Raw genomic sequence first — 13,507 nt, forward strand, 5'->3', positions numbered from 1 at the left:
CCTCATCTGTCTCTACCATTGTAGAGCTAACAGTCTAGACCAGAAGTTGGCAAACTTTTTCTGTAAGGGGCCAAGTAATAAATATTTTAGGCTTTGTGTTTCATGTGGTCTCTGTCTCTGCTACCTAACTCTGCCCTTGTAGCATGAAGGCTGCTATAGACAATATGTTCACGAATAAGCATAGCTGTCTTCCAATAAACTTTATTTGTGGGCACTGAAATGTTAATTTCTTGTAATTTTCCCTTGTCACAAACTATTATTCTTTTGATTTTTCTCTTAGCTGTTTAAGAATGTAAAAACTGTTTTTAGTTCACAGGTTATATGCAAGCAGGCAGTGGACCAGATTTGGCCTTCAGGCTGAGTTTGTCAACCCCTGGTCTAGAATGAGCTCTGTGTTATTTTATTCTCACAAATACATAGTGAACTGCCTTAATAATTACTTAAATTGGTCAAGCATGGTGGCTCATGTCTGTAATCCCAACACTTTGAGAGGCCGAGGTGGGAGGATCATCTGAGGCCAAGAATTCAAGACCAGCCTGGGCTACATAGTGAGATCTTGTCTCTACAAAAAATTTAAAAATTAGCCAGATATTGTGGCATGTGCCTGTAGTCTTAGCTACTCAGGAGGCTGAGACAGGAAGGCCACTTGAGCCCAGGAGTTTGAGGCTGCAGTTAGCCATGATTGTACCACTGTACTGCAACCTTGGCAACAGAGCAATACCTTGTCTCCCCAAAATTTTTTAAAAATAGTACGTATATAGTATTATATATAGTATGTATGTAGTGTTATATAGTATGTACATACTATATACATAAGCGCACACACATATTGCTTTTGAGGACCATTGATTTTATGATAATCATGAATCACCAATATTGAAAATAATACCTAATATCTATTGGGCATTTACTATTACATATATTAGGCCTTTTTCTAAGCCTTTTGCTATTTGTTTTAATTAAGCCTCCCTGAAACTGTATGAAGTTGGTATTATTATCTTCTTAACTTTTTAGCTGTGAAACCAAGACTCAGAAAGGTTAAATGACTTGTTTAAGGTGATATAGTTAGTAGAAGCAGACATTCTCAAGAATTCTAACTCTAAAACCAGCGCTCTCAATGACATATTATGCTTCTCTAGGTACTGAAATATATGTGCAAAAGTCATTAGGCCATTTTTTTATTACGATGTAAGAAAATAGAAGTAAAGATTAAAAAATTATTTTTCCTAAGAAACAAGTACATCATTGAAAGAGGAATTTAGCAAATAAGTGCTTTAATAGTTCTCACTGGTTTAACTTTAACTTGTTTCTGTCCATGAGAAAAGATGATCAACTCCAACTCTAACTCAGGATAAACAGCATGCTGGGATGTTTCCCTTTTCTGAACTTAATTAACACTGATAATCGGGGCAGGGCTGGATTTACAGTGTAATGATGTGTCCAGTGCCAAAATTGTAATACAGGTACATTGTATTTGTATATAAGGTTTAGAGAATGCTCTGTTATATGTGATAAGTGATGTGAAAGTGCTTTGTGACCTGCAAATCATATTCCAAAGGGATCATTGTTCATCATCCCGGTGGCTCATTCCACTGTAGATATAGCCTTAGTCCTACCTTCATGTTACTTTAGTTGGATCAGTAGAAAAGGTTAGATCTCAAGTAAACACAACTGAAAGATTCCTAGTGGACTATTTAAAATTTCCCTTCACCAGCCAGTTGTGGTGTTGTGCACCTATACTCCTAGCTACTGAAGAGGCTGAGGTGGGAGGATCAGTTGGAGCCCAGGAGCTGGAGTCTAGCCTGGTCAATACAGCAAGACCCTGTCTCAAAAAAAGAAAAAAAAAATCCCTTATTTAACTTTGAGCCTGTTTTATATTTAATTTTTATTTTTTTTTGAGACAGAGTATCAGTCTGTCACCCAGGCCGGAGTGTGGTGGCACAATCTTGGCTCACTCCAACTTCTGCCTCCTGGATGTTCTCCTGCCTCAGCCTCCTGAGTAGCCGGGATTACAGGCATGTACCACCACACCTAACTAATTTTTGTATTTTCAGTAGAGATGGGGTTTCACCCATGTTGACAAGGCTGGTCTCGAACTCCCAACCTCAGGTGATCTGCCTGCCTCCGCCTCCCAAAGTGCTGGGATTACAGGCGTGAGCCACCGTGCCCGGCCAATTTTCAGTCTGTTTTATGTTGAACCAGGAGAAAAGGACTAAAGAATCTATTCTCATCCTGGAAAGTCTGAGAAGAAAGAGAAGTAGGATCAGATACAGTTTACTTTCCCATTTAAGTTCTGGGCTTAGGGCTGGGCGCCGTGGTTCACGCCTGTAATCCCAGCACTTTGAGATGCCAAGGAGGGCAGATCACTTGTGGCCAGGAGTTGAAGACCAGCCTGGCCAACGTGGTGGAACCCTGCCTCTACCAAAAAAATACAAAAATTAGCCAGCTGTGGTGGCTCAAGCCTGTAACCCCAGCTACTCAGGAGGCTGAGGCAGGAAAACTTGAACCTGGGAGGTGGAGGTTGCAGTGAACTGAGATCATGCCATTGTACTCCAGCCTGGGTGACAGAGCAAGACTCTGTCTCAAAAGAAAAAAAAAGTTTTCAACTTAAAAAAAGAAAAGAAAAAAGCTAAGTTCTGGTCTTAGAAGGAAAGAGGTATGAAGGAGAAGGAAGGATTTTGAAAAGAAAATATTATTTACCTTGATGCTGACTCACTAATCTAATCTTGTGGGCAAAGACCAAGAATTCAAAAGATACCCACACTTGTGCCACCCTGGGGTGCGTCTCTTGCTGTAACACTGAGGTCATAGGATGGCATAGTAGTATCTTCAACCAGCTCATTGTACATGCAAATAACAGATGATTCAAGACAAGAAAAGATCTTTGTACACTTTTATTGCACTGTGATTGTTTCCTGTTACATAAAAATTCTCCTCTAAGCTACTCTGTAGTAGAGCTTATTGCTAAATGAAGAGGACTACCAGGTGACAGGGTCTTTCCAAAAACAACATACTTTTATTTGCTTTATGTATAATTAAAAATTAGTTGCACCATAAAATTCTATATTTGGTACCTTCTGATTATGGAATTGCTGTCCTGTAACAATACAGGATATGGCTACTTTTTCTTTCATTAGTCCAGATCTTTTAAGGAACTAGAAATGTTAAAAAGAGGATTGCCTTTTTATTTTGAGTCCCTTTACCATCTCTCTCCTCACCCTCTGTGAGTCAGGCCACTTTGGGATTTGCTATTCGTTCATGATCTGTACAATTACAGCTTCATGACTGAAGATGGAAGCAACCACCAGCTGAGGAGGAAAAAGAATACATATGTTCTTTCTCTCAACAGCACCATACCATATAATTTCAGCTCAGGGATAGCTCAGGAAATTAGCAGCGGCAGGCAGTAGAGCTTACACTTAACTACCAAGGATAGAAGGATGTGTAGAAGGGGGTGGTCATTCAGGTATGCTCTGTGGAAGAAGGCAGTGAAAGAATGAGGATGGCAGGGAATCACAAGGCCTGTGCCAGACTTCAAGGTTCACATGTTATCTAGAGGGTACAGCAACCCTGGCTTAGCCCAGTGTTACCATACAGGAATGTGGGTGCAGTATTGCCAGACATTCTGATTTTAAATGAAAAAACAGAAATCTGAATTTTATGCTAATCTCCTAATTTTTATATATTTGCTCCAAAATTAAAAAAAGAATCCAACACTCAATGAGCCACAGAGGACATGTGTCCAGGCAGTGTTTGGCCCATGGGTGCCATTTTGTCCCTTTGGCAGCCAGGAGAGGCTCTTAGTTTGGTGAAGGAGGAGTTATAAGAGCCTGTGATGGGTGCTTCAGGAGTATGGCGGCTATAGAGTGTGAGACCTGGCCTGGGCTCCATCTGCTGCTTTCTTTTTCTGTTTTATGGAGGAGGGTGTGTTTTAATTCTGCTTAAGGAAAATCTTTCGCTCTCTAGATTTCCTTCCTGGAGAAAGAGGGGCTGGAAGTGTTGAATGCTGTTGGGGACTTCAACAGCTGGGTGGGGCTGGGCAGTGGTGAGGCAAGCCTGGCTATACTACGGGTCTCAAGGCAGGGTGTCATTTGAAAATTGAGACAGAGAAGCATCCATCTGCAGGATCTGGGTAGGGTGGGCAGAACACGGAACAGAAACAGAGCTTCCAGACCCAAGGATGGAAAAGGAGGGTAGAGTGGGGGTAGTTAAGAGGTGCCCAAGGCACTGAAGAATAGCCCCAGGTCTTGGCTTAGTTGTGGGTGGGAAGGAAGCTGTTGAGGCAGCCAACATGGTCTGGACAATTGTTGATGATTGACCCAGAGAAGTGATGTAGGCTGAATTTCTTGAAGACCGTATATCTTCTCTCCATTTACATTACTTTGGTGGTAAAAGCATGTTCCACAGGAGCAAGAACATTATTCAGTGTATACAGATGATATCATCTGGCTTCAGCATTATGGCTGAGACAAGGCAGGGTGACTGTGCTTCCAGAGTGAGGTCACAGACTTTGGAATTCCTAGTTATATTCCCGATCATTCCACAATCATGATCATGATGGATGCTCTTGAGGGGCCTGTTAATTCAGACTCTTCTTCCTTTTATTTTTTGAACCAACTGAGAAATAGATACAGGTCTCTCAAATGGAGTTTGAAATGTCAACTTTATTCTTGGTGGAGGTGGACCAGGATTGCAGCCTGGGCCCGTGTCCAAATGGCCTTCCTAATATCCTTCTTCCCAGGAGCTTAATGTCTACTCACCACATCCCAGGGAAACCTAGTGAACAATTGCCTCTGGGTCTGTTATCATGTGAAGGAAGAGGAGAGCTTGTGTCCTGAGGGCAAGCAGATGTTGAAGAGGGAAGGGGCAAACCATGTAAGGACAGTGATGTTTAACACTTTACCCCACCCCACTCTGTAAAAACCACTTTAGCTCCATTGAGTATAGCAGTGGTTTTTCAAAAGTGTGGTCCCCAGACAAGCAGCATTAGCATTATGTTGAAGCTTACTAGACATGCAGACTTTTCGTCTCCATTCCAGACAAACTGAATCAAAGATTGTGGAGGATGGACCCAGGAGACTATGTTTTAACAAGCCCGTTTGGTGATTCTATTGCATTTAAAGTCTGAGAACTATTGCAGTAGAGGAATGAGGGTCAGTGGGCCCAAGACACTTACTGTCTCTCCAGTGAGGTAAATCATTTCCCATTTTATGGAGGAGAGTGAGAAAGAAGTGCAAAGAGGCCAAAGCTTCTGCTTTGACAATAGGTCCTCATGGAAACATAAAGATAAAGGTTTCCCTCAACAGATAATCCTGCCCTGTAGTCTGGAAGATGATAGTTTGAGGAAAAAATGCAAGAGCAAACATGAAGACTTTCTTCAGATGCTCCTTTTCTCATTTGTTAATGTTTTCTACCTTTTCTATAAAGGATAAGGTAGAGAAAAAAGAATGATGGAGGAAGGCACACTAGCAGGAAGAGAAAGAACACTAAATGATATAGAAAATAATAGGTATTGTATTTCTTCCTTTACAATTAATCACTTATTTTACTATATTATTGATTAGATTTTTAGTCTCTGATTTGTTTTTCTAGTTGTGACCCCAACAACAGGCCATTTGACTGTGATCATGTCAGCATGGACTGCAGTACTATTTGCTTTTTGTATCTATTCATTTTCATGTTGAATTGTGTGTGTTGTTTAGTGACACAATTATTATTATTATTATTATTGATGGAGTCTCACTCGGCCACCCAGGCTGAAGTACAGTGGCACGATCTCAGCTCACTGCAACCACTGTCTCCCGGGTTCTAGCGATTCTCCTGTCTCAGCCTCCCAAGTAGCTGGGATTACAGGCACCCGCCGTCATGCCTGGCCAATTTTTATATTTTAGTAGAGATGGGGTTTCACCATGTTGGCCAGGCTGTTCTTGAACTCCTGACCTCAGGTGATCCATCAGCCCAGGCCTCCCAAGGTGCTAGGATTACAGGTGTGAGCCACCGCACCCGGCCAGTGACACAATTATTTATGTCCTTCATATTCATCTGGAGTTCAGATTATTCAAATTGCTTTGTAACCTTGAGTAGGTCATTTAATTGCAGTTTCAACAGTCTTCAAATCACAATGGACCATTGCCCAGTTAGCCACTAAAATAGCCAGTGATGGCAGATGCTTGTCACAATAATCCATATAGTTGGCATTTCATATTTTAAGGTTAAAAAAGGGATACATTTCTAAAATGTTGTGATTAGGAAGATTTTTTTTTTTTTTTGCTTTAGCCAACCTTTTTAGAGGTTTGGAATAAAATTATGCCCCCTTGGGTACATACAGCCTTAACTAGACATGGATGCCAGCCTCTTGTAAACACGCTCAAGTCCTTGCAGTCCAGAATGGAAGCTTGTTTCCATTAAATGTTTAGTCTTTCCAGATACTGTTACAGGAATAAAAAATGCTAAAGAATTCAAGCTGCCTCTGATTTCATCTGAAAATGGAATTATGGTGATAGTGATCATCATAGTAACTGAATAGTTACTGTGTTGCAAGAACTGTGCTTAATCTGCACTTGGGGCCTTGATCAGCATAGCAGAGGTCTCAGGTAGTTGGTGGGAGAAATGGGGAGTGCTTCAGCTGTATTAATCGTTTGTTCAAGGAAAAAATTCAGAAATCCTTATTTTAGATCTCATTCAGATTCCTAGGCCCCATCCTAAAACTTCTGAATGAGACTCTTTGGGTTGAGACCCAGGAATCTGCATTCAAAATAAGATCCACATGTTGATTTTATGATTAATGAAAAACTACTACACCTGGCCGGGCATAATGGCTCAGTCCTATAATCCTAGCACTTTGGGAGGCTGAGGCAGGTGGATCACTTGAGGTCGGGAGTTTAAGACAAGCCGATTCAATATGGTGAAACCCCATCTCTACTAAAAATACAAAAATTAGCCCGGCTTGGTGGCATGTGTCTGTAATCCCAGCTACTCAGGAAGCTGAGGCAGGAGAATAGCTTGAACCCAGGAGGCAGACGTTGCAGTGAGCTGAGATCGTGCCACTGCACTCCAGCCTGGGCAACAGAGCGAGACTCTGTCTCAAAAAAGAAAAGACAACTACTGCACCTAATTGCTAGGCATCATTTCATGTCTATTTCAGTAATCTCTGGGGCCCAGTCTCTCAGGAAGGGTTAAGACAAAGGTATCCCTGCTCATCATTATTGGCAGAATCTTCAGTATTTTTATTTTTGTAGTGTTTTTCTTTTTAAGCTCCTACACTAAATATTTGACTAACATCTAATATGTATATGTTATTGGAGGGAAAATTTATTTAAGGAGAACTGTAAAATCAACATTGATCTCTCCCCTCAAACAAACTCTGCCTACCCCCCACCCTGCTGCATCTCCCAAGTGATAGCTGTTCTCTCGTGGACAATCCAAGGCCAAGGTGATAAGAACATCCCATTCTGAATAAAACTATCTGAGCCTGTATTAGCTTTCTGTTGCTCCCATAACAAACCACCACAAGTTTAGCAACTTAAACAATACAAATTTATTATCTTACAGTTCTGTAGGTCAGAAGTTTGATACAGGTCTTGCCAGGCTAAAGTCAACACAGCAGGACTGCGTTCCTTTCTGGAGGCTCTAGGGGAGAATCGTTTTCATGGCTCATTTGGGTTGCTGGCAGAATTCGGTTTCTTTTGATGGTAGACCTGAGATCTCTGTTTTCTTCTTGGATGTAAATGGAAGGCCATCCCCAGCTTCTAGAGGCCACCTGCATTCCTTGGCTCATGGTTCCTTTCCTTCATCTTCATAGCCAGCGACAGTCGGTAAAGCCCCTCTCATACTTTGAATCTTTCCTCCTCCTCCTTCTGTTTCATCTCTCTGAGCCAGCAGAGAAAGGTTCTCTGCTTTTAAAGACTCATGTGATTAGATTGGTCCTGCCCAAATAACCTAAGACAATCTGCCTCATCTCAAGGCCCATACCCTTAATGAACATCTGCAAAAATCTGTTTTGCCATGTAAGGTACCATACCATATTCACAGGTTCTGGGGATTAGGATGCAGACATCTTTGGGGGACAGGGTATTATCCTGCCTGCCACAGATGTGTTGTCTGCCTCTGTTGACAAATAAGATAGCGGTGGTTATCGCTACCAGCAGGGCTCCAAGCATTCATGTTGATGTACATGAGAAAATGTGACTTAACTGGATATCTTTCTAAATAGAAAACATTTCAGGGCCAGATTACAAAACAAATAGTTTTGAAAAGGATGTTTCAGGGCTTTTGTGTAGTCAAGCAGAGCTGCCACAACATTTATCTCTGTGAGTAGGAAAGGAAGGCAATTCACATTAAGCCTGCTTCTCTGGTAGCTTGGATTCAGAAAAAAATTCTGATATGAGAGAGGCACACCCATTCAGCCAGAATATTTGCTTTTTGTGACTCATTGCCTGCCATATGCTCCCCTGCTTCCGCACCTTTGTTCATGCACTTCCAGCTGCTTGGTGTGCCCTTATGTCTACCAATTTATCTATGATACATATTTATGACAAGTTTTGACACCTACTTATTCTAGGAAACATTTTCCAAGATGCTAAAAGTATGGCTTCTACTCATTTTTCCCAAAAACTGAAGTAAAATGCTAAAAAGAATCCATGTCATCTGCCAGATTTCCAAAGGCTGTTTTTGAGTTCTTCTCTAAGATGTTTTCCTCCATAAATGTGTACAGCATTAAAGAAGCCCCTGCAGCATCTTGGAGATAGTAAGTACTTTGTAACTACTTAGTGATTTGAAGTACTAAATCTAAGTAATTGATTGTATTATCTTTATACCAAAAGTCTGCAAGATGTGTGTATGTATTGTGTCCTTAGAATATTCTAAACAAAAGAACATTGCTAATAATGTCTCATATAAGCAAGTAAAACTGGGATTTTTAGAGGTGAGGTTTCCAATTCATCTTTTTCTAAATATGTTAATTCATATTCTGTCAGATTACTCAGAGGTATAATGGGCAAGGGAGTGGACTTTTTTCTTCTATTTTTTAATGTGATGTATATATGCAGAAAAACATAAAAATTATGTATATAGCTTGATGAATTTTCACAAATGGCTACTCCCACAATCAGCACCCTATCGAGAAACCAGAATTACTCCTGGCTGCCCAGAAACTCTCTGGTTGCTTTCCAGTTGCTGTCATTCTCAGGGGTCATCACTACCCTGATGCTTCAGAAGTTTGAGAAGTAGACTTTTTTTTTTTTTTCTTTTTGAGGCAGAGTCTTGCTCTGTCACCCAGGCTGAAGTGCAGTGGCACGATCTCGGCTCACTGCAATCTCCGCCTCCCAGGTTCAAGTGATTCTTCTGCCTCAGCCTTCCAAGTAGCTGGGATTACAGGCACCTGCCACCATGCCTGGCTAATTTTTTTGTATTTGTAGTACAGACGGGGTTTCACCATGTTGGCCAGGCTGGTCTCAAACTCCTGACCTCAGGTTATCCACCCGTCTCAGCCTCCCAAAGTGTTGGGGTTACAGGCGTGAGCCACCGTGCCAAGCCTGAGAAGTAGACTGTTTTTAAGATGCAGAAAGATATTCTCACAGATGATATGACAATCTTAGAAACAAATCTCTAAGCAAATGTTTATGGGTTTATAGAGATTTTTTTAAAAACGTGACTCTTGCCCCGAAGGTGCATTTAAACATGGAATAGTAAATTCTTTTCTAAATGTTCTTGCTTTATCAAATAGTTTGAGTTACAGATACAACTTTGATTCAGTTTATTATTTTCTAGTATTTATTGAGTACTTGTGATGGTTCAAAATACTTACGCCTCAAATATTCATAGGCTGTTAAAACTGCACCATACAGGCCATGTGCAGTGGCTCATGCCTGTAATCACAGCACTTTGGGAGGCCAAGGCGGGCAGATCACTTGAGGTCAGGAGTTCAAGACCAGCTGGCCAACATAGTGAAAATCTGTCTCTTCTAAAAATACAAAAATTAGCTGGGCGCGGTGGCAGGTGCCTGTAATCACAGCTACTAGAGAGGCTGAGGCAGAAGAATGCTTGTACTTGGGAGGGGCAGATGTTGCAGTGAGCTGAGATTGCACCCCTGCACTCCAGCCTGGGTGACAGAGTGAGACTCTGTCTCAAAAAAATAAAATAAAATAAAAGAGCAAACAAGAACTGCACCATACACTTGGCCCTGATCAGTGGCTTGGCACCATATCTTTTTCTACATAGTTGTTACTGAGATCAAATTAAAAATTTTTTCAGTATTTTTTTCCTGGAATTTTGGTTTAGGCTCATAGTAGATACTAAAGAAGAATATATTGTCAGCAAAAGTGACAGTCTCCATACTGTACATTTTAACTGTCTACTGTGACATTTCCCAACAAAGTGGAAATTGAAATTACTTGTAACAGAATGGAATGGGTAAACTCTTAGAGCAATTGGATTCACGGCTATAATGTCCCTCATAATACCACAGAGGGTAATGTCCCCATCTACCCTCTGTGTTCAAGGATGTTTGCTGAAGCATTATTTCTAAAAGTAAAACATAGGAAACCACCTTAGTTAGCAATATGAATGCTTAAATAAATCATGGTATAGTCATACATGGACTATTATGAAGCATGAAAGGCATACTTTCAAAAACTGAAAACTTTAAATAATATTAAGTAAAACTATATATAGCAAATATCAATTTTGTTTGGAAAATTGTATATTCATACACATGTGCATAGAAGAAAGATTGAAAATTTATAACATTTTGGCCTTGGTTATTTCTGAATGGTGTGCTTGAGAGCAATTTAGATTTTATTATTTTCCAAATACTTTTAATGCTGCATATTGCTTTTCAACAATCAGAAAATAACCACACAGGATCCATTTTTTAAAAGGACACATAGGGCAGATAATTGGTTTTTCCTGTGAAGTGAAGTCCTGGGGGAAATCAGAGCAAATATATGTTTTAGTCAAGAGGTTAGCAGAACTCCATGCAACAGCAGCAGGACTACAGCCATCCGTAAGTGGTCTCCTTGAAATAATGGAATTTTCAATGCAAAAAACATTAATGCCACCGCATCCAACTTTCTATGTAGGAATTCCCAAAGACAACAGCCTGTGTGCCTCCAAAATTGACTCTGAGCTTTTGGACACACAGGTCCAGTGTTCCAGGTGTAGAACCTCACTGTTGCAGTCCGGGTTGTCTCTGGACCACGTGGACAGAATATTTCCTTACATTCGTGCAGAATTTGTCTCCTGGTATTTCTTCTGCCAGTGGTCCTAATTCTACCAGCTTGTGGCCATAAAGAGCAAGAATAAGCCTTCTTCAATACAGATGTCCTTTAAAATATTTAAATGTGAGTGTGTATTTTTAACATTCATTGAGGTATAATTTAGATATGCTAGACTGTACCCATTTAAAGTGGACAGCCGGCAGTGTTTTGACAGGTATATACATCCACAAAATCACCACCACAATCAAGACGTAGAACACTTTTTTCCTCCAAAGCCTCCTCATGTATTTTGCTTTCCATCCCTCCTTTCACCCTGTTCCAAGCAACCTTTGTTCTGCTGTCACTATAGGTTAGTTTTTATTTTCTAGAATTTCCATAAATGGGATCATACAGTACTGTATGTACTTAAAAAAAAAACTGGCTTATAAAAGTCCTTAACTTTTTCTTTCACTTTATGAAGCAGTTTTATAACATCTATTCTTTACCTTTATGGAGCCATCATAAAAGATGTTTTAGACTTTCCCTTCAGATAATTAACCAGACAGTGAAAATGCATTATACATTTTATAAGTGAAACTGTTCTTGCCTCACTTAAATGGTAGTATTGGACTATAACCCGTGGGGCATCTTCTGGTTTTAACGCTGTATAATACTATAACATGTTTTCAGTTACTATTCAAAGATAATTTTGGATATTTGCTTGAAATTAGTCCAGTGACTCTAATTGAAATTCAGTAAGATGTTAGGGTTTGTTTGTTTGTTTTTGGTTTTACAATTTCCTAATTATTTCTGGGAATTAATTCTTCATGATTTTTTACATGATGAAAACAATATTGCCGTTTTCTTTTCTTTTTTAAGAGATAGGGTCTTGCTGTATTGCCCAGACTGGAGTGCAGTGGCTATTCACAGGAGTTATCATAGCACGCTACAGCCTTGTACTCCTGGGCTCAGGTGGTCCTCCTGCCTCAGCCTTCCAAGTAGCTGAGATTATAAGCACATACCACTGTGCCCAGCTCAACATTGCCATTTTAAAATTAAAGTGGCAAAGGAACATTTATGAAAAGAATATGGAAGCTCATAGGGTAGTCCCATTCCATAGGAAGAAAACCTGCTTGGGTAAAATCTAAGGGGTAAGGTGAATACCACAATGTATTTTAAGCTCCCCAGCTATAATCAAATAGAATGATGATGACATCCACATTTTTGCCTCTTGATTTTTTTATGGTTCTGAACCACACCCATGTTGCAGATTGGCCTTTCTACTGAGAGTAAGTTCCATCAAGATTAATATCTGTAGTAATAGGCAGAACACTTCAGTGTGGAATTGCTTCTTTTCTTTGGTCAAACACTAACTTTGGCAGAGGATAGACACAGCTTAGGAAGACTGAATTTTAAGTCTTCTGAATTGTTTTTCTGGACTTCCAAATCTCAAGTGATAAGACCAGCAGAAGCAGGTATACAAAAATTTATCTCTGTCAATAGCAGTAAGACAGCCTCGGATTCCAGGCTGCTTTTTCATATAATTGTTAAATTGAGATAAACACCCTCATAGTATTTCTTTTTTAAATGCATTCTTGCTTTGGGACTCTAGATGGCTTTGCATAATCAATGTAAATAGGAACCTTGGTGTGAAGATAATATAATTCTTAATTATCTCTTCATTTTTCTGTTTGAAAACTTTCTTCTGTAAGCACCACTGGTTAGAGAAGAAAGGACTGTTTTGGTTTATTCAGGGTTGGATAAAAATATTAGACTCATAATTCTTGATTGGGCTTTGATTTTCCTTTCAGAAATGGATATAAATTATTAGGAAAATGCTGAAGTGACTGAATGCACTCTTTCTGTGCCATCTAGAATGTGTGTGTATTATTGCTTGGAAACTTGATGCTTTCAGTCTGATGGAAACAGCTCTTCCAGTCTATAGTTTAATTGTGGATAAGCAAAACTCTGCTTTTTTTCTAGAGAAATTTCACAGATAAGACATAGTAATACAGAATATCTCCAGTACTAGGAATGTGTAAGATTCTGTTTAAGCATCTGGAGTCTGAAGAAAATATCTAAATGGAAATAAATTCTTTATCATTATATTTGTTCTTCAGCATTTCCAAGTACCAAAATGTACTTGGGGATAGCAGCTTTGCTTAAAAGCTTTTCACTGTTTCATTGAATTTGGGAAGGGCCTGAAAGCTTTCAGAAAGATAATTTTCTTATAAATAGTGTACAAGTGAGCAAGTTGCTCTTTAGTGAGCATTTTTAATGGTTTCTGAGGCTGGCCAAAAAACTCTATATCT

General features: G+C 39.8%; 1 protein-coding gene and 1 long non-coding RNA gene across 16 annotated transcripts in view; one reads left to right on the forward strand and one right to left on the reverse strand.

Annotated features, from left to right (window-relative positions):
• PLS1-AS1 (PLS1 antisense RNA 1) overlaps positions 1 to 13,507 on the reverse strand; it is a 60,902-nt gene that overhangs the window by 14,984 nt on the left and 32,411 nt on the right. The gene's annotated exons all lie outside the window — the stretch shown is intronic.
• The window catches only part of PLS1 (plastin 1), a 117,272-nt gene that overhangs the window by 14,500 nt on the left and 89,265 nt on the right, over positions 1 to 13,507 (forward strand). For 9 of the 15 annotated variants that reach the window (XM_047448321.1, XM_047448326.1, XM_047448328.1 and 6 more), the window contains exon 1: positions 12,532 to 12,670. The exons of 5 other annotated variants lie outside the window; for them this stretch is intronic. The gene's annotated coding sequence lies outside the window, so the exon portion shown is untranslated. Of the gene's footprint in view, positions 1 to 8,560; positions 8,747 to 12,531; positions 12,671 to 13,507 lie in introns of those variants that run through there. One more of the 15 variants, XM_047448323.1, reaches the window with a different exon arrangement.

The sequence above is a fragment of the Homo sapiens genome, chromosome 3 (assembly GCF_000001405.40).
Source record: "Homo sapiens chromosome 3, GRCh38.p14 Primary Assembly".
NCBI lineage: Eukaryota > Metazoa > Chordata > Mammalia > Primates > Hominidae > Homo > Homo sapiens.